General features: G+C 36.3%; 1 long non-coding RNA gene across 2 annotated transcripts in view; it reads right to left on the bottom strand.

The window, feature by feature from the left end:
* The window catches only part of LOC105378396 (uncharacterized), a 66,197-nt gene that overhangs the window by 3,600 nt on the left and 37,063 nt on the right, over nt 1–25,534 (bottom strand). The window contains exons 3-4 of one of the 2 annotated variants that reach the window (NR_172929.1): nt 14,816–14,961; nt 14,541–14,721 (exon numbers count right to left, since the gene is read on the bottom strand). This is a non-coding gene — a long non-coding RNA (uncharacterized LOC105378396). Of the gene's footprint in view, nt 1–14,540; nt 14,722–14,815; nt 14,962–25,534 lie in introns of those variants that run through there. The other variant, NR_172928.1, reaches the window with a different exon arrangement.

Here is a 25,534-nt window from a genome sequence, read left to right as displayed (position 1 = left end):
CTGTGCTGGAGGGCCAGGGACTTTAGTTGGTCTCCATATGGTCTGGACTTCATAGCATAGTGGCTGGATTCTAAGGGCAAGCGTTCTGAGAGCCAGGCAGGAGCTGTATTGAATTTGTGATCTAGCTTCAATGGTCACACAGGTTCAGTTTCTCCATAAGCTATAAGTCAAGCAGGCACAAAGGCCCACCAGCAGATGGTCCCAGTCTATTACCAGATGCCTAGTTGCAGATGCATACAGGCAATAGTTACATAGGAACTCACTTCCCATCATCACCTACGCATCATCCCCTCATCATCCCCCACTGGCAGCTGGTCACATGTGGCTTCTTTGATTCTCTCAGGCTCTAACTTACCTCCTCACATCAATGCTTCAGGAGGACTGATTCATGTCTTATTCCTCTGATCCCTCAACTCTGCCTTCTAGACTATCATTGCCCCACCTCCTCTCAAAATTTTGTAAGATCTAATTCCTATGATAGTTCTCTTATCCCATAGCACTTATAGTGGCTTTGATTCTCTGATCTCTACTTGATTCATTTATTAGTAGCAGAAGGCGTTTGAGAGAGACAGAACCTTTGTAAACCAAAAATAAAATTCTAAGCCCCCCAACTGACAGAATGTACCCCTCCCCCTCAGCCAACGGGGGGATTTCTTTCAGGATTCCAAAGAAACCTGAAAAATTAATTCAGACCATGATGGGAAGATGGCCTGAGACAAGTTTCATTATACCCTCTCCTTTTTGTTTTTTAGATAAAACTGACCAGCATTAACATTGATCCTAAGACTGAGAGAACAGACTCTTTGTAGCAATAAGATACCAATTCCAACCTAACTCTGGAATAACATCACATGACAGGTAACATGCCCTAAAGGAAATCAAAGTATTTTACCCCAAAATATATTTATTTGACATATTTTAGAATAATCTTGCAAAGCCATCTCTTGTGGGGAAAATTTATATTCTATAGAGAACCCCTTTCTCTTTCCAGATCGTTTCCTGATGCAGGAAAGATTTAACTAAGAGTCTGATACCTTTTAAGCTCTGGTAAGTGACATTTACAATCTATTCTCTCTGAAGCCTGCTACCTGGAGGCTTCATCTGTGTAACAAGAATCTTGGCTACCACAACCCCCCTTATCTTAATCCCAAGCATTTCTTTCTGCTGACTTTAACTTTTTTGGCAAAGCTTAATTCTTTCAACCAATTGTCAGTCAGGAAATTTTTGCATCCACATATAACCTGGAAGCTCCTATTTTGAGATATCCTGTGTTTCTGGGCTGAACCAACGTATACCTTACATGTATTGATTTATGTCTTTTCCTGTAACTTCAGTCTCCCTAAAATGTATAAAATCAAGCTGTAAACAAACCATCTTGAGCACATGCTCTTAGGACCTCCTGAGGCTGTGTCACACACAGGTCGTGGTCCTCACATTTGGCTCAGAAAGCCTCTTGAAATGTTTTACAATGTTTGAGTTTTTTCATCAACATCTTAGAGATACAAATCTGGATTGGTTCTCTTTTCTGACTAGATCTAGAGGCATTAATAACCCTGATGCTGGTAGTAAATGCATTGGCAGCCCATGCCATGCTATGGCAAGCACTTATTTAAACTGTCATCTGTGGTCACCAGGAATTAAGTGTCAATAAAGCTTTGAATGGCCAAATATTTAATGCCATAGGACATTTTATGGAAATGGAGTATTGGAACTGTGGATTGTTTGTTTGCCTCTACATTACTGAAAAATGTGCTGAAAGAAAATTTTGAGCTCAAGACTTTTTAACTCAAGTTCTAGGCAGCAAACCAGAAAAAAAAAAAATGTCCTATCTCTATTAGCAACAGGATTGCAGTTTCTAAAAAGCACACACAAAGGTTAAACCTGTGGGTGGGTGGATTGCAATGTAAATGAATTCACAATCTTTGAAGGTCTCTTTTGGTAAAGTTAGGGCATTGATTATAAAGTATTGGGGCTCTGTCACCCAGGCTAGAGTGCAGTGTGCCATCACAGCTCACTGCAGCCTCAACTTCCTGGGCTTAAGCGATCCTCCCACCTTAGCCTCCTAAATATCTGAAACTACAGGTGTGTACCTCCACACCCAGGTAATTTTATTTTATGTAGAATCAGGGTCTCTCTTTGTCACCCAGGCTGGTTTCAAACTCCTGGTCTCAAGCAATCTTCCTGCCTCAGCCTTTCAAAGTGCTGGGATTACAGGTGTGAACATCTGCACCCAGCTTCTGGGCAGATTTTTATGCTAAGAACTTTGATCTTCCAAATATTGCTGAGCTGTCTTTGCCAATAGAAACAGCAGCCCCTCACCCCATCAACACTCCTTTGACAAGAAAGCAAATGGTCTCTTCTAAGTTTGTCTTAAAGGAAACTAGTGATATTTCTTAACACCTACGCCAAAGACTTCTACCAGAGGTCTTGCTCTTAGATTTATAAACAGGTTTAATTCCAAACAGATCCTGAGAGTCAAGAACAAAGTGTGACTCATAAGTGCATGCCATAATTTCCTCTGCCCAATGTTTCGCAAAATTTATCTAATTTATATTTATACAAATCTAAAGAAGGTGTCTGGAAAACAATTCTAAGGACATAGAGTAAAGGTAGAAGAAATGTAGTTATCATGGGATGAATTTGTTGACTTGGGTACTCTAAGCAGAGATTCTTAATTGATTGTATAAATTGATATTGGCTTTAAAAGTATGCTTTGTTAGTTGGCTGAAACATGAACTTAAAAGTGGCCTACAATTATTGAAGAGAAAATACGAAAATTTGCTTAGTCTAGTACAGACAAGTATCCAATTTAAAGGAAGTTGAAATGCTAGACTGAAATATTATGTTAGACCTGCTCATTTACTCCCTGTGTCTCACACGATGGTGTAGGAGACACTTTTTTCATCAAGACTTTAAAAGTACATTAGTGAGGTGAGTACTGTCATTCTTTTGCTTAATTTTTGTGGGTCTATAGTGGCTATTACCTAAGCCAAAAATGACAGTGGGAGATGTTGCTATTGAATTTGGCTTCCTGAATTCAATGAGGATGATGGTAACTCAGAGTGGCAGGGGTCAAATGGTTTCACATAAACACCAGAGACCTTACCTACAAAAGTATTAAGCAAACAAGTAGCAAAATTATGGACCTAGACTAAACATATATATAATTATATTAAGTGTAAATGTACTAAAAAGGCAAATAGAGAGAATTTTTCAGATAAGATTAAAAAAAAAGCAAAGTCCTTCAACAACATATTCTCAACAGAGGAGAGGAGATATGGTTTAATGATACAGGCCAGAAAAGTTCAAAGTAAAAGAGGAAAAAGATGCACTATAAAAATGTATGCATAATAAAATTTGAGTGGCTAGATTAATATTAAATGAAATAAACTTCAAAAAAGAAGTACTTTCAAACTTTAAAAAGATACTACACAATAATAAAAGAGGCAAGCTTCAGTCTAAGCACAGTGGCTCACACCTGTAATCCCAGCACTTTGGGAGGTTGAGGTGGAAGGATCACTTGAACCCAGGATTTTGAGGCTACAGTGAGCTATGATTGCACCACTGAACTCCAGCCTCGGTGACAGAGTGAGAATTTTCTCTTAAAAAAAAAAAAAAAAAGAAGAGGCAAACTTTAAATGCCTGAAGCAAAAATAGCAAAAGAGAAGAGAGATAAGTCTATACTTATTGTTGTTGATATTAACTCTCCTCTTTTAACACTGATTTAAATATTAAATAAAAAACATTAGGAATATATAAAATCTGTAAAAGAATATGAACAGCAACATCCCTTTCAAATACACATGGAACCTGCACAAAGAAAGTGATATAATGATGACTGAATTCATCTCAATAATTTTTAGAATTCAAAATCCTATGATTTCTTTTCTTATTCTAATATAATAAAACTTTTAAAAAAGTAAGAAACCCAGAAAAATTACATATTTTGTCATATTATTACCCTTCTAAATAACATGTGTATCAGAAAAGAAATATAAGAAAATTAAGACATATTTTGAACTCACTAAAAATAACGACACAATATTTAAAAATTGGTGGATATGAATAAAACAATGTTTAGAAGAAAATTCACAGACTAAAATGATTATCTTGGAAAAATAGAACTGTTTAAAATTAGCGAACTAAGTTTCCCCTTAAGAATATAGAAAAAAATGGGCAACTTAAACGTAAAATACAGAAAATGAAGTAAATAAGATGAAAGCAAAAAGATAAAATAGAAAATTCATGACAATAGAGAAAATTAAGAAAGTCCAAGCTGGTCTCTAGAAAAATTAATGCAATTGATATAACCCTAGCAAGACTAATCAAAAGAGAGAGACATGCATGTCTGCGCACACACACACACACACACACACACACACACACACTTAGACATACACAGAGAGCAATAGAAAGAGAGAGATAGAAGAGAGAGGAAGAGAAAGAGACAAAGACAGAATTATCAATATCAGAAATGAAAAAAGGGGCTACCATTAGAGATCCTACAGATATTACAAGTACAATAAGTGACTCCCACAAACAATTTTATGTTAAGATCCTAAAAATTTAGATGAAATAGCCAAATTCTGAAAACAAAAAGAAGGCACAGTCTATTAGGTATGCTAATCCCAGGAAGTTCAATTTAGTGGTTGCCCATCAATAAATGTATTTCCTCTTTGCAAAGATTACAACAGTAATGGATAATTGAAAAGACCTACAAATCCATAGAACATATCTATATAAAGCAAAAATTAGGGTACAGCCGAATAAAGAGGAGAAAAAGTGGGCAGAAGGGAAGAACAAGAGAAAGACTGGGCAGACAAGCAAGAGATTTCCAGGCACAGCTCCCTAGGGTCTTTCTTATTTGCACAGGGTTGTCCTTCACCTCTGGATTCAACCACTAAAAATTGAGCAGTAACACTTTGCTTCAGGAGAGTTCCCTAAATTTTCCAGCAGTTTTGGTGCCCCTCTGGCTATATGGCCAAAGAAGACTATCTATATGATTATGCCAAGTATAAATCATTCATGTATGCTGCCAGGGGAGTTTCAAATATTAAACATCACACGATAAACATTGTTTATCACACTGTCTATATCTTAGTCAAGAGTCAGTGCCAAACTTCCAAGCATCTATGCATGTAATTATATTATCCTAATCCAGCTGTAAACTCACTTTATCCTTTATACCCATATTAACATAATGAAGAAAAACAACATTATCTTATTAATGGAGGCATAGAAAGCATTTGGAGAATGACTTTTTATCCAAAATATATAAAGAATGTCTACGAATCAATAATTTGAAAACATGCAAAAAATTGCAGTGGACGTGAACATAAGCTTTCATAAAATATGAATAAATGCCCCAAATCACATTAAAAGGGATCAATACTGTTAGTTACGGAAAAATCCAAATTAAAACCACTGTAAGATAATACTTCCTACCACTATAATTTCTAAAATTTAATAAGCTGACAATCCCCAGTGTTGAATAATATGTGGAATAAATTGAACACCCACACATGTCACTGATTTAGGTCAGTAAAGTGATCCAATCACTTTAAAAAACTATGTGTTTTTTATAAGAGTAAATCTACATCTATCTGTTTACCTAGTAATTCTAGAAATTTATTCAAGAGAAATGAAGACCTATATCCACAAACAGACTTACATAAAAAAGTTTAAAGTAACTTTATTCATAATGATCAACTACTAAAGAGAAAATCCTAATGTCCATTAATGGTAGCTAAATAATAAACATAATTTTGCATAAACATTTTGCATAAACAATTTTTGCACAAAGAAATTATGATATATTGGTACTTGGAATACTTCTTAGCACTATGAAAGATTACACCCTTGATACATGCTATAACATTGATGAATCTACAAAATATTATGCCAAGTGAAAGAGGCTATACACTAAAAAATACATACTGTACAATTCCATTTATATGAAGCTAAAGAAGAGGCAAAAGTAATCTGCATAATGTAATTGAGAGAAGTAGTTGCCTAATGTTACATTAGGGATCTTCCTGGGGTGACAGATTATTCTATGTCTCGATTGAGAAGACTGGTTACACATTTGACAAAATTTATTGAAATTATACATTTAAGATCTGTGCATTTCACTGGTTGCAAAATTTATCTCAATACTAAGAAGAAAACATTTTAAAGATACTAAATTGTAATATGTTAAAAGAAATAAGACAGATACAAATAATACCTTTATGGTTCTATTCATGTAAAGAAATACAAGAAAAGATCATGGGGGAAACTTTCTGGAATGATAGAAAAAATGTTCTATATTTTGATTTTTATGGTGGCTCTATGGGTAAATATATCTGCCAATACTCCATCATAATGTCCATTTAATATATGTAGCTTTTACTTATGTTAATTTTACCACAATAAAAAGAAGAAAACCTTAACCCTAAATGTATATTGGAAAAGAGAGACTTAGAAACACTGTTTTGTGTATTGATATCAAGAAGTTAAAGAGCAGCAAATTAAATTCAAATGATATAGAAGGAAGAAAGTAAAGGAGATAAGAACAGAAATTAATGATGTAGAAAACAACTTGTGGTAGAGAGAATGAACAAAATCAATAGTTCTTTTTTTTAAGTGAAAAAAGCCATTAAAATGACAAACCCCTGCCAAAAGTAATCAAGAAATAACAAGAAAAAGAAAACGATCAGTATCAGGAAAAAAGAGGTATATTAATATTGATCCTTCAGATATAAAAAAGGATCATAACAGCGTTATCCCAATACATTTTAAATGACTCGGTGTGCTATGTCCATGTCTTGAAAAATCAAACAATTAAACTGCAGGTTCAGTACACTCTTCCCTTGTATAGCAGCAGATGTTTAAAAAAGTACATTCTGGCTAGAGTATACTGAATACAACTGGGGACTTATAATTCACTGATACTTTTGTATTGTTTTTATTTGTAAAACTGTTTTATTGAAATATAGCATGTACATAGAAAAAAGGCACATTTTATCATCATATTACAAGATGAATTTTTACAAAATGATCACACCCACCTTGCTGGAGATACAGTAATGAATAAGTTATGAATATTATTCTCCTGTCTGTGATACATTATTTAAATCTGTTTTTCCCCATAAATACTTTCTTGTTCCAATGTTCTCAAGGCTTATACTCTGGTCTTTCCTTCTGATTCTTGTGAACTCATCTGCTCTAAATAAAACACAATTTTCTAGCTATCTTCCTTTTTCTATGCAATTGAAGAAAATCAGTTGGTACCACTACATTAATGACCATTTTTCTCTACTCAATGATCTCTCCTAAGATTATTTGAAGTCTTCATATTTCTCAAAATCTTGATTCTCCTGTGTTCACCTTAATTCTCAGATGGAGGCTTGAGGTGGGAGATCTTTAAATGGGACCCTCATTAATGTAAGCCATCAATCTGTAAACCAACCTCTACTGGTCATCTGCACCAGTTTCTCTCTCTCTCTCTCTCTCTCTCTCTCTCTCTCTCTCTCTCTCTCTCTTTCTATGTGTGTCTCTCTCAGCCTCTCTCTCTCTCAGGAAATATCCATCCTTCTGCCTGTGGCTAGTTCATTATGCACCTTTGTTCTGAGTCTTACTCTCTTTCTTCTCAGGAAACATACCTATATTATCCCTTCTGTTTCTTTTATTTTCATTTTGCCACATCATGTCAGATTGCAACATAAAACCAAATCAAAGCAAATATCTCTAGACTCCACTCCTTACTTTAGCTGCAGTTCTATCTCTCTCCTTCTATTCACAGATGTCTTAAAATACAGAGGAATGCGTTTTCTGTTTCCTCTCACACTTAAATAGCTTGTATTTTATTGAAACAAATATATGCCTGCACTTCACCAATTTTTTACTTACTAAGGACATCAGTGACCTCTGTGCCTTGATGCTAGTAGATATATTTTAGTTCTCATCTTACTTAACCACTCATAGACTTTCATAAATTGAATATGATCCATTTATTTAAATTTGTTTCTCTTAACTCGAATAACTACTTTTTAGTCTTTCTTAAATTACTGTGGATCCTCCCCAGAAACTTAAACCAGCAGATAGGAGTTTTGAAGATTAGAGTTATTCAGGGTTAGTTTTAGGGTCTATTTTCTTGTCAGTCTACTTCCTTTCCCCAAGATTAAAGGTTTCAATTGGTAACTTATATGGTGTTATTTCCAAGTTTTTATCACTAGACTAAGATTTTTTTGCTCTGAACCACTAACTCATATACCCAAATATTTTCATGACATCTTCACTTAGAAATTTAACAAGAATCTCAAAATCAACATGTTCAAAACTGAACTCAAGATCTCATGTCCCAACTTTGGTCAATCTCCTGCATCTCCTTTCTTAGTGAATTCCATCAGTCGATCCTCCTTTCTCTCACCTCCAATATGCAAAATCTGAACAACTTTACCTCCTAAGTATCTTTGGTAGTCGCTGAATAAATGACTCCAGTAAAACATGGCACCAAAAGAGCCTGTAAGATGTTTGGGGCTGAAACAGGGGAATAGAATGTTGTGAACTCTGGCTTTGATATAAGTAAACATAGATGTTTTAAACTTTATTTTAAAGATCAGCTTTGGAAATGCTTACATTTTTGTCACTTTTTTGGTGTTTGGTTTTGTTTTCTTATTGGCAATGAGGTGGTTTAGCTCCTGAATCATGATCCAGTCTTCTGAATTGCTTGGCAGCTCTGGGGGTCAGTTCTGTGGCATTGTCTTTGATTGCACTTACCGAAATTTTAGATTTTCTCATCCTGTTGAAATACATGATATTTGACCCATATATAGAATTCTGGATCAGAAACTTCATGAACTCAAAGATAGATTGTGGTTTCCAGGCAACCACAGCATATACTTACTTTAAAAAGTAATGGTTCAATGACAACTTGAATCATCTGATAGTTGAGTAGCTTATAGAGTTCTAAAGCTCTATACTTCTAAAAGTTCTCTCAAAAGAACTATACTCTTTGATCTAAATGCTTACACAGTTGAATCCTGCTTAATGAGGCTTTCAGGGACATCAAAATTATGTTATATTTAAATCTTATAATGGAAACCAATTGCAACAGTTTACTAAATATGTGCACCATGACTATTTTTATTCCAACTTCAAGTAACATATTTGAGGCATTATCTTTGTACACTCGTGTGTGTGTATATACATATGGCATATGACATATATGACAAGATAATTAGAATTATGTTTAAAACTATGCATAAGGTTGTAAAACTCCTGCTTCTGTTCTGCTCTTCATAGAAAAATGTCTCAAAACCTTATTAATAGAAATAATAATAGCTAACATTTATTCAAATCCTACTAGATACAAGGTACTTTGCTAAGGGATTCCCATATATTACTTCATTTAGTTTTCACAAAACACCTGTGAAATAGGTGCTATTCATAACTGTATTTTCCAGAAGAGAAAACTGAGGCTTAGCAAAGTGAAATAATGCTGCAACATTCAAAGGCTAATACATAAGTAGAGCCATGATTTAAGTTTAGGAAAATACTCTGACTTCACAGTTTACAATCTTTACCTTTAGCCTATCTTACACGCAAAGAATTGCCCATTCAAGGTGCTGCTTCCTCATCATACTTTCTTTCTTTCTCTCCTCTCTGGTTCATATTCATATACCTCCACTAAATCTGCTGTTTTAATGTTATCAATGAACCCCGTGTTGCCAAAATGCAATGGCTTCCTCAAATTCCTCAACTTTAAGGTAATTTATAATAAAATTCAAGATCTCCATTTATAAAAAGTACTCTTGCTTGACTTCTGTGATACAGCATACTATTTCGTTGTTCTTTCTTCTTTGCCTACATTTCTTCCTCCTTTACCTAAATTCTAAATGTTGTAATGGCTTTCTTCTTTTTAATTCGACACTCTCTTTTGGTGACTTTAACTCATATTGCTTACATAACATCTGTATTCTGATAGATCCCAATCTATACCTCAGCCTTTACCTCATCTAGACTTTCTATGGAAGTCTAAATGTGTATATCCAAGTGCCTACGTGACCTTTCCACTCAGAAAAGATAGAGATCTCAAACGTGACATACGTAAGCAGAACTTTGAATTCTGCTCCCGGTCTCACCTTCACATCTGCTTCACCTGCAGCCTTCTCCATCTCAATTCGTGGTAACATTTTCTTTCAAGTTTCTCAGGCGAAAACCTAGAATCTTCCTTGACTGCTATCTTTCATTTACACCCCACATCCAAAGTGTCAAGGAATCTTACTGGATTTACATTCAGAATGTATTCAGCATCTGACAACTTATTAGCACCTCCTCTGCTATCACTCTGACCCAAGCCAACATTATCGTTGGCCTGAATTTCTGCAGTTAGTGTGTAAATTGGTTTCATGCCTCCAACCTTTCCAACACAAGATCTATTCTAAACATAGCAACTGGAGTGAATTTTGTAAAAAGTCAGTCAAATAAAGTTATTCCCTGCTCAAATTCTCCTGACATTTTTCTGTCTTACTCAGAGTATGTGACAAAGTCTTTACAATAACGCTGTAGACTTGCAACCCTCAGACTTCACTGAACTTATCATTATTCTCTCCTTCTGACTCTCTTCAGCCACATACACGTGCTTCCATGCTACTTATCGAATATGTCAAGCATGCTCGTACCTTACGTTCTTTGCACTGACTGTTCACTCTTCCTGGAAGTCTCCTCCAAATCCAAATAGTTTTCTCTCTCTTCCTTAGAGTATTCGCTCAGATCTCATCCTGTCAAAGAGGCCTACCCAGCCACCCTAATTAAAAGTGAAGCTTGCACCCCCACTCATATCTCTTCAGCCCCATGCTGCCCTATATTCCATAACACTTTTCAATTCCTAACATATCCTATAATTTATCATTTTTATTATTTATTTTCTAATGCCCTCTGCAAAAAAAGTAAGCTCCACAGGGGCAGAAAATTATGTCTGTTTTGTTCACTACCGTACTCCAAGTGCCTGGAATAGTGTCTGGCATATAGTAGTGTGATATACAGCTGACCCTTAAACAACACAAGTTTGAGCTGTGCAGGTCCACTTACATGTCAATTTTCTTGTGCCCCTACCATCGCTGAGATAGCAAGACCAACCATTCTTCTTCCTCCTCTCAGCCTACTCAAAGTGAAGACGGCTAGGATGAAGACCATTATTATGACCCACTTAATTAATAGTAAATATATTTTTTCTTCTTATGGTTTTCATAGTTACATTTTCTTTTGTCTAGCTTGCTTTATTGTAGAAACACAGTATATAATACATATAACATATAAAATATATTAATCAACTATTTATGTTATTAGTAAGGCTTCCAGTCAACAGTACTCCATGTTGTTCAAGGGCCAACTGTATTCACGTACACATATACATATACATAAATGTACATGTATATATGCAAAAATTATAATTTACACCCTTGTTTCCTTATGCTCTTCCAATCATGTACATATATATATACTAAATAAATAACTGAATGAACTCATAAAGTAGAAGGAGAAAAAAGTCAGGGCCAAGAAAAATAAAAGAAAAATACAAATGTATCAATATTATAGGCTCAAAGAACATATTTTACCAGTTCTAAAGCAGTGGCACTGAAGATCTCAGGTACTCATGTGTGCATTTATCCTTTGTCTGTTATCAAGATGTAGCTAAAGGACCATTGGAGCTTTGGTTTGAGTAACAGTCTACCACAGTGCTGAAGCAGAGTTTGGCCTAAGAGTAGGTGGATCCAGGGTGTGAATATGCTGGTAGTATTAATAAATAAGTCACCTGCTGGGAAACACACACACACACACACACACACACACACACTGCACAGGTTCCCACTCATATTCATAGTTCAAATGAAGTCTCGTAGTACACCTCTAGTGAGCAGTGAGTCATGTCTCATTTGACTTGGCAATAAACTAGCACAAGCAAGTTCAGTGTTAGAAGAGAATTTGGATAACGTTTTAACTATCCTGAGCTTCAACTTTCTCAGTATTATTATAAAAGGGCAATAGCAGTGATACCAGAACCATTAGAGGTTAGGAAGATTAAAGTAAATAACATGTAGGAAACAATATTTATGATATCTTAATATGAGGAATTCTCTTTAGGCTTAGGGTATCAGGCCAGTTAAAGGCTGAAAATACACACTTCGCTTGCACTGTCATCTTCCAAGTCACCCCGAATCTCTGGAGCCCGGTGCTGTTCTTACAATGCTTCTTAATACAGTGGAGATAAACTCTGGAAACAATATACTATTTATTTTACAATGTTTTCAAAAGCTGATTCTGATATAGGTATGTAATTATGAACATTAAATAGCAATTTATGCTCTCTTTTCCTTATTCTCTAGTAATAGATCAAATCATTTAGTGTCCCATCAAATCAGGAAAAAAAATGAGAACATTAAGTCCAGTCAAGTAAAATGGAAGGTTTTTAAGATCATGTCTTTTGTGGGAATATGGATGGAGCTGGAGGCTATTATCCTCAGCAAGTTAACGCAGGAAGAGAAAACCAAATACCACATGTTCTCACTTATAAGCAGGAGGTAAATGATGAGAACTTGTGAACATGAAGAAGGAAATAATAGACATTGAGGTTTATTGGAGGGTGGGAGGAGAGAGAGGAGCAGAAAAAATAACTATTGGGTACTAGGCTTAATTTCTGGGGGATGAACTAATCTGTACAACAAACCCCTGTGACATGAGTTTACCTATGTAACACACCTTCACATATATCCTTGAACCTAAAATAGAAGTTAAAAAAATGGAAGACTTTTTATGTAAACTTCCACATTGTTCTGCTATGATGATAAAGCTGATGAAGGTGAACCATGAATCTCCTGGTATCAGAGAGACGAGGGTTCTATTCCTGGCTCTCTGGTTATCATCTATCTGATTTATGTAGGCTGCTTCACTTCTCAGATTTTCAGCAATTTGTTGTCCTTTCTCAAAATGAGTTTTAATAATATCTGTTTCACAAAAATTGTGGATATTAAATGAACTGTTTTATGTGAAAGTGCTCAGCACCTACTGTGAGACTATGAAGTGTTGAGTCTTTCCTTCCTCTCTTCGTCTCTATTCTTTTTTCACTGCCTAGTCCTTCATATTTTAATGTACCTATGCCGACGATTGTGTTTCTTATTCAGAACGTGCTTTGGAGTATTTGCCTTCTGGTTTGATTCTCTGTTACAGTTCTAGCCTCTGCTTTGTTGTGGGGATTGAGGAAAGCTCAGTCTTCCAGCCGCCCTGGATGTTAGGCTCCCTTTATTATCCGTCAACACTGATGAGACAGAGACCCCTCAGATACAAATTCAGCTTTTCTGCCTTCTTTCACCCCAGGCTTTAATTGGGTCTCAGTTTTATTGTCCAGTCTTTGTAAGTAAATGTCTAGCATCAAAGTGCACCTTTATCTGGCAAATGGGAAAAGATGAAGTCTTAATTTCCCACTCCGTTTTGTTTTCTAGATTCCGTGGAGACAGTTATTTCATAGCGATCTGAATCTGTCCTCTGAGTAGGTGAATTTCTGTGCTACCTTGAGCTGGACTATTGATGTATACTTAATTTTGAAAGAACACAAATATGGAAGGAGGATATGAAACTGAAAATTATGTATGAACGTTAAGGCCCACCAAGCTGGAGGTTGAGAGATTGAACAGAATCATACAGGTTCAGGGAAAAATCTTGAAGTTGGCAAAGAAAACCAGAATTTAGGGGCCAGGTATTAATATTTCATGTATGAAAAGGTATGGAAAAATAACCTTGAAAAACTGTTTTATCCTTTAGGTTACTTTCACTAGTTGCCCAGGTTGTGCTGTAAGCCTGGCTTAGAGGGCCAGATATGATTTAGATGGCAATGGGATTAGCAACCTCTTGTGAAGACAAAGATCATGTACATTCACTCATTCACCCCTTTGTTCATTCAGTGAAAGGAACATAATCTAAGCCCCAAGAGATCAAGGACTTGCCCTGCTTTGTTTTCTCCTATCTCCCCAGCTTCTACAAGAGTGCTGGGCATGTTATAAATATGTGTTTAAGAAAAGAATACTTGTCCCAGAGGATTGATATTTTGGGGTTTCATCCTAAGTACAGGGAGAACCTTCCGTTTAGGACTTTACCCTCCCTACTATGTCTATTCCAAAATCACACATCCTGACAAGGTTGTGCCCCTCTCAGCACCTGCCACATCTTAGACAAAAGTCTTGACTGGGAAGACAAGCACATCATCCTCATTGAAAAGGGCTGGATGCTCTGATTAAGCACAGTTTTGTGACATTCTGGGGATAATGAAAGGCCAGGACCTCATGACCACTGTTCAGCCAAAGGAAAAGGGCCTTGCAGACCCTTTGTGTGTCATTGACAGTGTGGTTGAATGCTACAAATCAGAATGAAGGGTTGCAAAGCACAGCTCAGAAATTTACAGGGTCTGCCTGGAAATGAGACAGACATTCAACAATTTATCATGGCACTCACTATGCTTGCTTCAAGGCAGAAGGAACCATAAATACAGAGGATGAGAGTGAATCTGAAGTTTGAGCATTTTAATTCAGAACAAATAAGCATGTGGGCCTTATAGAGGCCATTGTCTCCTGGTGATTTCTTTGATTGTCATTTGTCATCTTTCTGGCAGCTAGTGTGGAGGCACAGCGCCAAGTCTGTATAGGGGTACAGAAGCAACCTTGCTCTTAAATTTCAATTGTACAAGACCTAGGAAAAAAGATTTTTGAGGTCAACTTGCCTAGCCCCTGTTTTATTCAGGTAAAATTAAATCACCAAGGATATTTGGTTTTCTGCTACTCACATGACTCAAAATTCTCCGTATTCTTTATTCCACTGTAGTTTTGTTATGCTGTGCAGCAAGTTGAATTTGATAGTTAATCATGGTTTCTCTTGTTTCATTATAAAGATAGTTTTTGAAGGACATCAAATAAATTGCTTAACATCTTCCTGGGAATAGAGGTAGAAAGCATACACTTTTAAAGTTAGCAGTGATGCCATCTCTTATTTTTTGGCTTTTTTTTTTAAACTTCTATTCAGTAAACATAAAACATTATCATTTTCCAGGTTGTATTTAGAAGACAGAGTTCCATAATGAATCCATACAGCCTGTGGGTTCATAGTTTAGCTAGCCTAACCTTTTAGGAGAAATATACACATAATCCAATAATACCACAACATAAAAGGGTCATAAACAGGGATCTATGGAAGGTCAGAGAAGTAAACCTTCGACCACTAATCCCTGGGGGGCTAGGAAGTGGTGGAAAAGTAGCACATTTCTATACAGCCACTTTGATATAGTTGAATTAATGGGGTTGTTTTGACCTTGTGACTATTTGATTGGCCAGCCTGATGCTTCAAAATGTAAACATATTATTAAAATATTACCAAGAGTAGTTACAATAGATGTTGCTAAATCTCATATTTCCTGAGTCTATCCATGACCATATCTTCACATTCCTCCTTCAGTGGTGGATAGTGGCAAGGTTATGGGGTAGAGTTTGAGGATGGGCTGCCAGTCCCACAAAGAGTAAGGATTTTTGTGGCTCACGCCTGTAATCCCAGCACTTTGGAAGGCAGAGGTGGGCAGATCACGAGGTCAGGAGATCGAGACCTTCCTGGCTAACATGGTGAAACCCCTTCTCTACTAAAAATACAAAAAAATTAGCCGGGCAAGGTAGCAGGCGCCTGTAGTCCCAGCTACTCAGGAGGCTGAGGCAGGAGGATGGCATGAACCTGGGAGGCCAAGCTTGCACTCAGCCGAGATCGCACCACTGCACTCCAGCCTGGGTGACAGAGTGAGACTCCATCTCAGAAAAAAAAGAGTAAGGATTTTTGTGTTTCAAGCTCTCTCTCTCTCTCTCTCTCTCTGTATATATGTCTATATGTGTATGTACACAGTTTTTTGAGAAATAATTTACCTATCATGAAGTTCACCCATTTAAAGTGTTCAATTCAGTTGTATTTAATATATTTATAAAGGTGTAAAACCAACACCATAGTCTTTTACCATAATTTTAGAACATTTTTATCACTCCAAAAAAAAATCATACCCATTAATAGTCACTCCCCTATCCCTCCCACCCTACACACACACACACATACACACACACACACCCCTATCCCTCGCTAGCCAGTAATCTCCTTTCTGTCTCCATAGGTTTCCCTATTCTGGACATACTATATAATGTGTTCTTTTTCAACTGGCTTTTTTTTCACCTAGCAGAATGTTTTTGAAGTTTTTCTATGTTGTTGCATGTATCAGTATGTTATTTCTTTTTATTAGCAAATAATATTCCATTTTTTGAGTATATGACATTCGTTTATCCATTACTTGGTTAGTGGATGATTTGTTTCTAGTGTTTGTCTATTATGAATATGAATAATAATGAGTAATGCTGCTAACTAAAATTTATATGCAAGTTTTTGTAAAGATAGTTTTTATATTGGGAATATACCTAAGAGTCAAATTTGTAGATCATATGTGAACTCTATGTTTAACATTTGAGGAAATAAGGTTGCTGTATATATAATTTTAATGCTGAAAGTATACAGGTTTTTGTTTTTAGGGTTTACTGAAATGTCCATGTAATGCAGCCAAGTAAAGAAGCTATATGCTCATTGTATTGGGTCTTACAAATGAGTAAGAATCACGTTATTCAAAGGATGAATAAGACACAGTGCTTCCAACAGAAAGTTCGTGGCTCAGAAGGGGAGACAGATCTTGATGTTGCAAGGTGCGAGGAAGCATAAGAGAGAAGGCAGAGGGGGTGTGGACAGGAAGGCCAAGAAAAACATCTTGAGATGGAATATTGTCAGCAGTCAGAAACTGATGGGGAAGGGGAAGGAAGCAAGAGATCATCATATGCCAAGACATGAATTCAGTGTAAAGGTGTGGTGTATTCACAGGAAGTCAAAAAGCACAACACGAACGGGAGACTAATGTAGAAAGAGGTGGCAGCCAATGAGTCTGAATAATCTCAGACCTAGAAACATGCCTCAAGGGAACTATTTTCCACTTTTTTTCCCTTTTATCCATGAAAGGAATAAGAAATGAAAACAACTACAAAGCACTTTGAAAAAAAGAACTGCCTATGAAAAAGTTTATTATTATTAAAGCGTTAATGGAAAAAGCAATACTGTATTTTCAATTCAAACAATATTCCTTTACTTTTTATTCTTAAAAGTCATAAATGCCTATTGTAGGAAAATCGGAAAATACTGGAGTATAAAATAAAAATCAATAGTAACCTTACAATCCAGAAACAACCAATTTTAACATTTTAGAATCTATCTATATTTATTTTTATATTATAGCAGCTTATACAGTGAGAACTTTAAATGCAGTTACATTTATAGAGATTAAATTATAAAAATTGTTTTAGTTGCTGTTTACAATTAATACTAGTTTATAAGCATTTTTCTGATTTACATATTATCCAAGAACAAGATTATTAAGACAACATAGAATTTCACTACAAGAAAAACTAGTTGATGAAATCTCTTATATACGGTCATTTATGACATTTTTTATCTCAACATAATCTATAAATGTTTTGATATCAGAAATAATTTCTTGACATAGTTAATTATTCAGTAAAATGATTTCTAACTATATTAATTAAAAGAAGTATTAAAAAATAAAACTATTCTTCAAAAAGAGAAAAATATTTTCTATATTTATTTGGACCTTGCAGGAAAGAGACTTTCTAGGTATACATAAAAACAGTGAAGACAGTTGCAAAGTCAATAAATAATGACTTTGATTACATTAAAAAATGTAACAACGAAACATTCAAAGAAAAATTAAAAATAAAGAAAACCCAAGGAAAGTATTCACAAAATATTCTGAAGAAGTACTGGAATGAAGTGTTGCTATTCTTAGTGTATACAGAACTCATACGTATTGTAAGTAGTGGTAGAGAGCCACTAATATAGTAATAAAGTGGGCAAAGGGTATGAATCGCCATTTCTCAAAGAAAGTCAAAGAACTAATAAATATATATATTTATTATTATTATTGTTATTATTATACTTTAAGTTTTAGGGTACATGTGCACAATGTGCAGGTTACATATGTATACATATGACATGCTGGTGCGCTGCACCCACTAACTCGTCATCTAGCATTAGGTATATCTCCCAGTGCTATCCCTCCCCCCTCCCCCCACCCCACAACAGTCCCCAGAGTGTCATGTTCCCCTTCCTGTGCCCATGTGTTCTCATTGTTCAATTCCCATCTATAAGTGAGAATATGCGGTGTTTGGTTTTTTGTTCTTGCGATAGTTTACTGAGAATGATGATTTCCAACTTCATCCATGTCCCTACAAAGGACATGAACTCATCATTTTTATGGCTGCATAGTATTCCATGGTGTATATGTGCCACATTTTCTTAATCCAGTCTATCATTGTTGGACATTTGGGTTGGTTCCAAGTCTTTGCTATTGTGAATAGTGCCGCAATAAACATACGTGTGCATGTGTCTTTATAGCAGCATGATTTATAATCCTTTGGGTATATACCCAGCAATGGGATGGCTGGGTCAAATGGTATTTCCAGTTCTAGATCCCTGAGGAATCGCCACACTGACTTCCACAATGGTTGAACTAGTTTACAGTCCCACCAACAGTGTAAAAGTGTTCCTATTTCTCCACATCCTCTCCAGCACCTGTTGTTTCCTGACTTTTTAATGATTGCCATTCTAACTGGTGTGAGATGATATCTCATAGTGGTTTTGATTTGCATTTCTCTGATGGCCAGTGATGGTGAGCATTTTTTCATGTGTTTTTTGGCTGCATAAATGTCTTCTTTTGAGAAGTGTCTGTTCATGTCCTTCACCCACTTTTTGATGGGGTTGTTTGTTTTTTTCTTGTAAATTTGTTGGAGTTCATTGTAGATTCTGGATATTAGCCCTTTGTCAGATGAGTAGGTTGCGAAAATTTTCTCCCATTTTGTAGGTTGCCTGTTCACTCTGATGGTAGTTTCTTTTGCTGTGCAGAAGCTCTTTAGTTTAATTCGATCCCATTTGTCAATTTTGGCTTTTGTTGCCATTGCTTTTGGTGTTTTAGACATGAAGTCCTTGCCCGTGCCTGTGTCCTGAATGGTAATGCTTAGGTTTTCTTCTAGGTTTTTATGGTTTTAGGTCTAATGTTTAAGTCTTTAATCCATCTTGAATTGATTTTTGTATAAGGTGTAAGGAAGGGATCCAGTTTCAGCTTTGTACATATGGCTAGCCAGTTTTCCCAGCACCATTTATTAAATAGGGAATCTTTTCCCCATTGCTTGTTTTTCACATGTTTGTCAAAGATCAGATAGTTGTAGATATGTGGCATTATTTCTGAGGGCTCTGTTCTGTTCCATTGATCTATATCTCTGTTTTGGTACCAGTACCATGGTGTTTTGGTTACTGTAGCCTTGTAGTATAGTTTGAAGTCAGGTAGCGTGATGCCTCCAGCTTTGTTCTTTTGGCTTAGGATTGACTTGGCGATGCAGGCTATTTTTTGGTTCCATATGAACTTTAGTTTTTTCCAATTCTGTGAAGAAAGTCATTGGTAGCTTGATGGGGATGGCATTGAATCTATAAATTACCTTGGGGAGTATGGCCATTTTCACGATATTGATTCTTCCTACCCATGAGCATGGAATGTTCTTCCATTTGTTTGTATCCTCTTTTATTTCATTGAGCAGTGGTTTGTAGTTCTTGAAGAGGTCCTTCACGTCTCTTGTAAGTTGGATTCCTAGGTATTTTATTCTCTTTGAAGCAATTGTGAATGGGAGGAAAAGAGAACTAATAAATATTTTAAAAATTGTTTTTTACTTGGTATCAAAGCAAGCATATCAATAGAAGTGGGATCTTATTATTTTGTATATGTAATTAGCAAATTTAAAATCCAATAATTTTTTACTCAACAAGGCGTCGCTAAAATGTGTATTTCCTGCTCTCTTAGTATAATTGCAATGGTCCAGACTTTCTTGTAAGCAGTTTGACGACATGCAGTACATGTCTTTGAATTGTTTATGCTAATTGATGCAATCTAAGGATGTTTTTAGCATCTGAAACAAAGATTGATGACCAAAGATATTCATGTCTGGCATTTGTATACTATATCATGTATTTTCATTATCACAAAATAATTACTATAAAGAATACAAAACAAATCATGAAATGTATACATACATATATATAATGCTATGTTGTTTTTATATTAAAAGTGATACTTGAAAGAATATTTTCTAACATGGGCTAATTCACATTATATATTTGAAAAGACAAAATACAAAACTACTTATAAAGTGTTATACCAACTTTAAAAACATAAGCAGAGAAAAAGACTTAAATGAAACATATTTGTGATGTTAATATTGGTTTCTTCAAGGAATTAAGCTACTGTTAACTTAGCTTTCTTTTCTCTATTTCTTAAATCCTGTTCTTCATCCTGGAAAGGTAAGAAGAGTGTATACCTTGGAAGCCTTGTGCAAGGAGATGCCCGTAGAATATGTCTGGAAATATATCAGGAATGTCTCCTTAATTCTTTGCTTTTCAGTGTCTGGCAGGTCCTGAATTTGCCATGCATCCTAAATGCGAGGATTATACTTTTGTCCTGTGTTGATCCCTGCTTGATGGGGCATCCTGTCTACTTCATGGCAGTGTATCACCTAGGGTCGGAGCTTGTCCCCATAGTTTCAGTTGACACAATCCTGCTTATTATGGATAAGTTCCTTAAGACTGGGGATAGCCCCACAAAGTGGTCTGCTATCTTCATTTGCTGCTTCAGAGTGATTGTGTAATTGGGGGATGGGAGTTGTTGTGTCATATATCTTCCTGGATTTTAATTTTCATATATCTAAAGTGAATATTTTGGGAGACGTTTCAGGGCATTGAAAAGTGTAGTGAACTGTGAGGTAATAAAAATGGGGCGGGACTGTATTACAAAAAAACTTCTTTGTGTCACACATAATACTAAGGCTTTTTAATTTGAGGTGATAATCCTGCTAATAGGTATTATGTCCATAGAGAACACTGCACTTTTCATATGAGCTGTCATTCAATGATCATTGTAACCCTGGAGGTAAATGCTAGTTTCCCAAATTGCTTCTCAGTCCCCTAATGGCAGAATCTATTTCGTAATTATCTGTATCTCTATCACCCGGCTAATGCTTAGCCCTAAGTATCTGTGAAAAGTCCCAGGGATAGTAAGTGACAGGCTGTAAATTTAATGGTAGTCTGTATAATTTCGAAAGTAGAATGTTTAGACTTTTCTGTTTGGCCAAGGGGAAGTCATTTCTCAAAAACTACCTCCTCATTGAAGAGCAAAGGACACTGGCTTTCTAACCTAATTGTGAATTAAAATCTGAGATCTCGCCACCAACTGGATGAGTTGGAGTTCTTAGGCGGTGGAATGAAGACAAGCAGAGGAAGGAGATCAAAGGTCTGAACTTTTAAAACCTTCCCTGGTGAGGTGGGAGCAGCTGATGAAACCACTGGCAGGCAAACCTCCTTGCACTTAACTGCAAAGTGCTCTGATTTGGTGATCTGAAGGAAGACCTTCTGCTATAATTGACACATAACCAGATGGAAAATAGTATCTATGTGATTTCAGGAAAATGTAGGGACACATTTTACCTTTAGAGTTGTGCTGTATAATACAAATAGAATATGTGCCACATATGTAATTGTAAATTTTCTAGTAGCCACATTAAAAAGGTGAAAATAAAAAAGCAGGTGAAATAATTATTTTTAATAGCATATTTTATTTAACTCAATACATCTAAAATTTTATCATTTCAGCATGTAGTTGGTATAAAAAATATTAATGAACAATTTAACATTTTTTTCAGAGGAAGTCTTTGGAATCTGGTGTGTGTTTGACACGGTGCATCTCACTTTGAACTAGGCACATTTTGGGTGCTCCCACGTGGCAAGTGGCTCCTGTATTGTATGGTACAGATCCAGATTCCATGCTTTGCTCTTGAAATCTAAAGCCTGGGGCTCAGACTTGCTTGGGAACACAATATAATTTGGGCTGTGCAAAAGGCCTCTATGGATGATGTACATTTTTGTGCTTTTAAACTTTGAAGTTCAAAAAGCTTTTTCATATACACTACGTCATTTAATCATCAGTCATCTAATCAACCATCAACTAAGTTGTATTAGTTTCCTGGGGCTGCTGTAAAAAAGTTCCACAAACTGAATTGCTTAAACAACAGCAATATAGTGTCTCGTAGTTCTGGAGGTCAGGAGTCTAAGATCAAGGTGTTCACAGAGCCATCCTTTCTCTGAAGGTATAAATTCCATCCCACGCTCCAATCAAACAATCACTCTGGAGTAGGAGATAGAGACTTGCTTCAGGTCTCTCTCCTAGCTTCTGGTAGTTTCTTGGCTTGTGGCAGCATGATTGTTATCTGCAAGTGGTGTTTTTGCTGTATGTGTGTCTGTGTCCAAATTTTCCTGTGCTATAAGGACAATAGCCATATTGGATTAGGGGCCTACCCCACCCCAGTATAATCTCATCTTAACCTAACTAATTACGTCTACTGAAAACCTATTACCAAATAAGGCACATTCTGAAGTACTGGGGTCCGAACTTAAACATGTGAATTTTGAAGGAACACATTCAACCCATAACACAGGCTTGAAGAAGCAATCACCAATTACTCTGCCTTAGTCTGACTGATTTTGCGCTACTAGCTGCACATGGTGTGTGTGTCCATGTACATCTGGGTCTGAGTTTGTGTATATATATTTCTTCTCATTTTCTCGGGGACCTTCTCATGACTACAGCTTCTATGCATTCTTCAGCACATAGTAGGCACTGAATACATGTTTGCTGAAAAACAGAATGAAAAAGCAGATTTGTGGCAAACTAAGACCCATGCTTGTGGTGCTATTACCACATTAGGGAGGTGTGTACCTTTTATGACATGTCTTTGCTTTGGCTGGAATCCCCTGTTTTCAGTGCTTTATAACATTTATTATAAATTCCATCTGGATGGAAACTTGGCTAAGCTTCTTGACCTTGAGCTTTTAATTGATAGTATGCTTATTGGAGAATGCAAAATATGAGTTCTAGTCTTTGTGATGCTCTTTTATGCCCGTATAATTTACAAATAGTGATGCCACAAAAGGCTCTTTCTGACTTCGTTATCAGTTTTTACAGAAATAAAATATAGATGCCCTAATGATAGACCTATAAAGTAAAAGCCAGACAGAGTAAAGCTGTGTGGTGGCAGTGTCTTGAACAACCAGTTGTCTTATTGTGGAAATGTGTTTTTTCAGGTACTCCTAACGAGAGCTTGCCTCCTGCCACAGGCTAAGCTAAAGACAGTTCACATCTACCTTCACAGGGCCTCTTTCTCATAAAGGGGATGCAGGCCACCCTCGAGCTGAGCACCACCTGTTTGTCCATATATATACTTCCAAATCTCAATCCAGCTGCTTGGATTTTATTTCAGATTCTACAGTGCGGATTACACATTACTGGTGTTAGAGATGCTAATGTGTGTTTTGTGAGTTTACTATATAATGTATCTAAATTCATCTGTTTATTGAACTAATGTTTGTTGAGTACCTGTTGTGTGCTCAGTGCTGGGGTATACACACATAAATGAGACTATATGTCTGTCCTTGAAGACTCACAGTCTAATCAGTGAGAGATAGTGGACATAAACAGTTCACACTGCAATGAGGAGAGGTCAATAGTACAGTTAGGACAGGACACTTAGAGGACACAGAGAAGGAATTTTTCACTGTGAGCATTAAGTGAGGTGGAAGGCAACTCATCCTAGCTCTACATGAATTTCATACAGAGTAAGCTCACTGCTTTTTGCAAATGTTGGAAAATTAGTAAAGATTAACACGTTCTGTGAAGAGGGAGCTGCAACAACAACAATAACAAAAAAGAAAAGGAAAAAAGATTAACATGAAGCAGAAAGTACCACAGAAAAATAATAATGACTTTTCTTGGATCTAATGGTGCACATTGAGAAAGCACTCTTTAAACCACATGTAATGGCTTCCCAGTAACTGAGCCAGACCCTGTGTGGGCCAAACAGCTCCCATGTTGACATCTAGAAGTCCCTCCTGCTTTCTCTCTTCTTCGTCATGAAAATGATAACCAATGTGTGCATGCTGTACACTGAACTTTAAAGCAATTTTCTGATTTTCTCATGTAATCTTCATGACCCTATGTTGTTGTTGTTGTTGTTCCATATTCATCCTACAGACCAGAAAACTGAAGCTTGGGGAGATTACAAGACTTACCCAATATCATGTGGTGTTTTGTAGTTGTATTTGCCATCTTTCTTGCTTTTGAAAATGATAGAAATCAAAATTGTAATTACCCTAAACAGACTAGACAACTTATTGGTCAATTATCTAGAGAATGCAAGGGTAGATGTGGTGGTAGGATTGGAAACAGGGGTGACAATGGCATTGGAATTTTCTCCACACTGAATCTGTCACTTTATAAATGTTGGCTTCATTTTCTCAAGTAAGTCTCTGTGTGTGGTAGTGTACCCTTTCCCTGGCAATTTCAAGGGCACGTTCTAGTAGATTTACTGGTAGGAAGTCACAGGAGTCTTTCCAACCACTGTCAGATACAAAATCCCACAGGAGGACTCTGATTGGCTCATTTTGGGTAAGCCCACAGGTAACCTCTCACTACAAATGGGCCAAGGGTCACCATCAACAAAGCCATGTGTTTTGAAGCATTTCTTGAAGGAAAGATGATGTTGTTTAAGGTAGTAAGAGTAACCAAAGTTTACCACAATGGTGAAGTTGGAACTGAAATCCATACTTTATGACTCCACATGTTCTGACATTCAGAATGCCATAGTAATTTTCAAGTTGTATATCTAAAGGACTTTCTGTCACTTGCACTTGGATGTTTCGCAGGTACCTTGAACTCAACTGATGTCAGAGCCAACTTGCCCTGTGCTGCCATAGCCTCCAGCCCCATGCCCACCTGGTCTTCATCCAGTTTTGTTATATCACTGACAGTTGCTCCAGGGCTGCATTATGACTTCCACGGGCCCTGGGCACTTTTGTTTCCTCCATAAGAATATTAAAAGTTATATTTTATTGCATTGGTATAAAGAAGAATATATTAATATTATATGTTTAAGCATTGTCTTTGCTAAAGTTCATTTTGCTCTTTGGATTAAAAGAAAATCAAAAAATTTCTTGACAACCCCTCTAAAAATTCTGTGGGCCCCAGGCACCGTGTCTGCTGAGCCTAATGAGTAAGTTGACCCTGAATTGGTCTGAATGGGACTGAATCACGCAAGATACAAATTAGAGATTTATCTTTAACATTTTCTCACCCCATCCCCACATCTTAATCACCATCTGTCATCAAATTTACAACCTAATTTTCTTCCCAACTCCAAATCCTCTTTATTATTATTTTTTTCTATCTTCACTTTCACCCTCCATGCTCTTGCCTCTTGACTGGTTTCCTCACATGCACTGTTACATTTCTCTAAGCTATTATCATTAGTACAGCCACAATTATATTTTAAAA

This window comes from Homo sapiens, chromosome 10 (genome assembly GCF_000001405.40).
Source record: "Homo sapiens chromosome 10, GRCh38.p14 Primary Assembly".
Lineage (NCBI taxonomy): Eukaryota > Metazoa > Chordata > Mammalia > Primates > Hominidae > Homo > Homo sapiens.
This window is presented reverse-complemented; position numbering and strand designations above follow the sequence as displayed.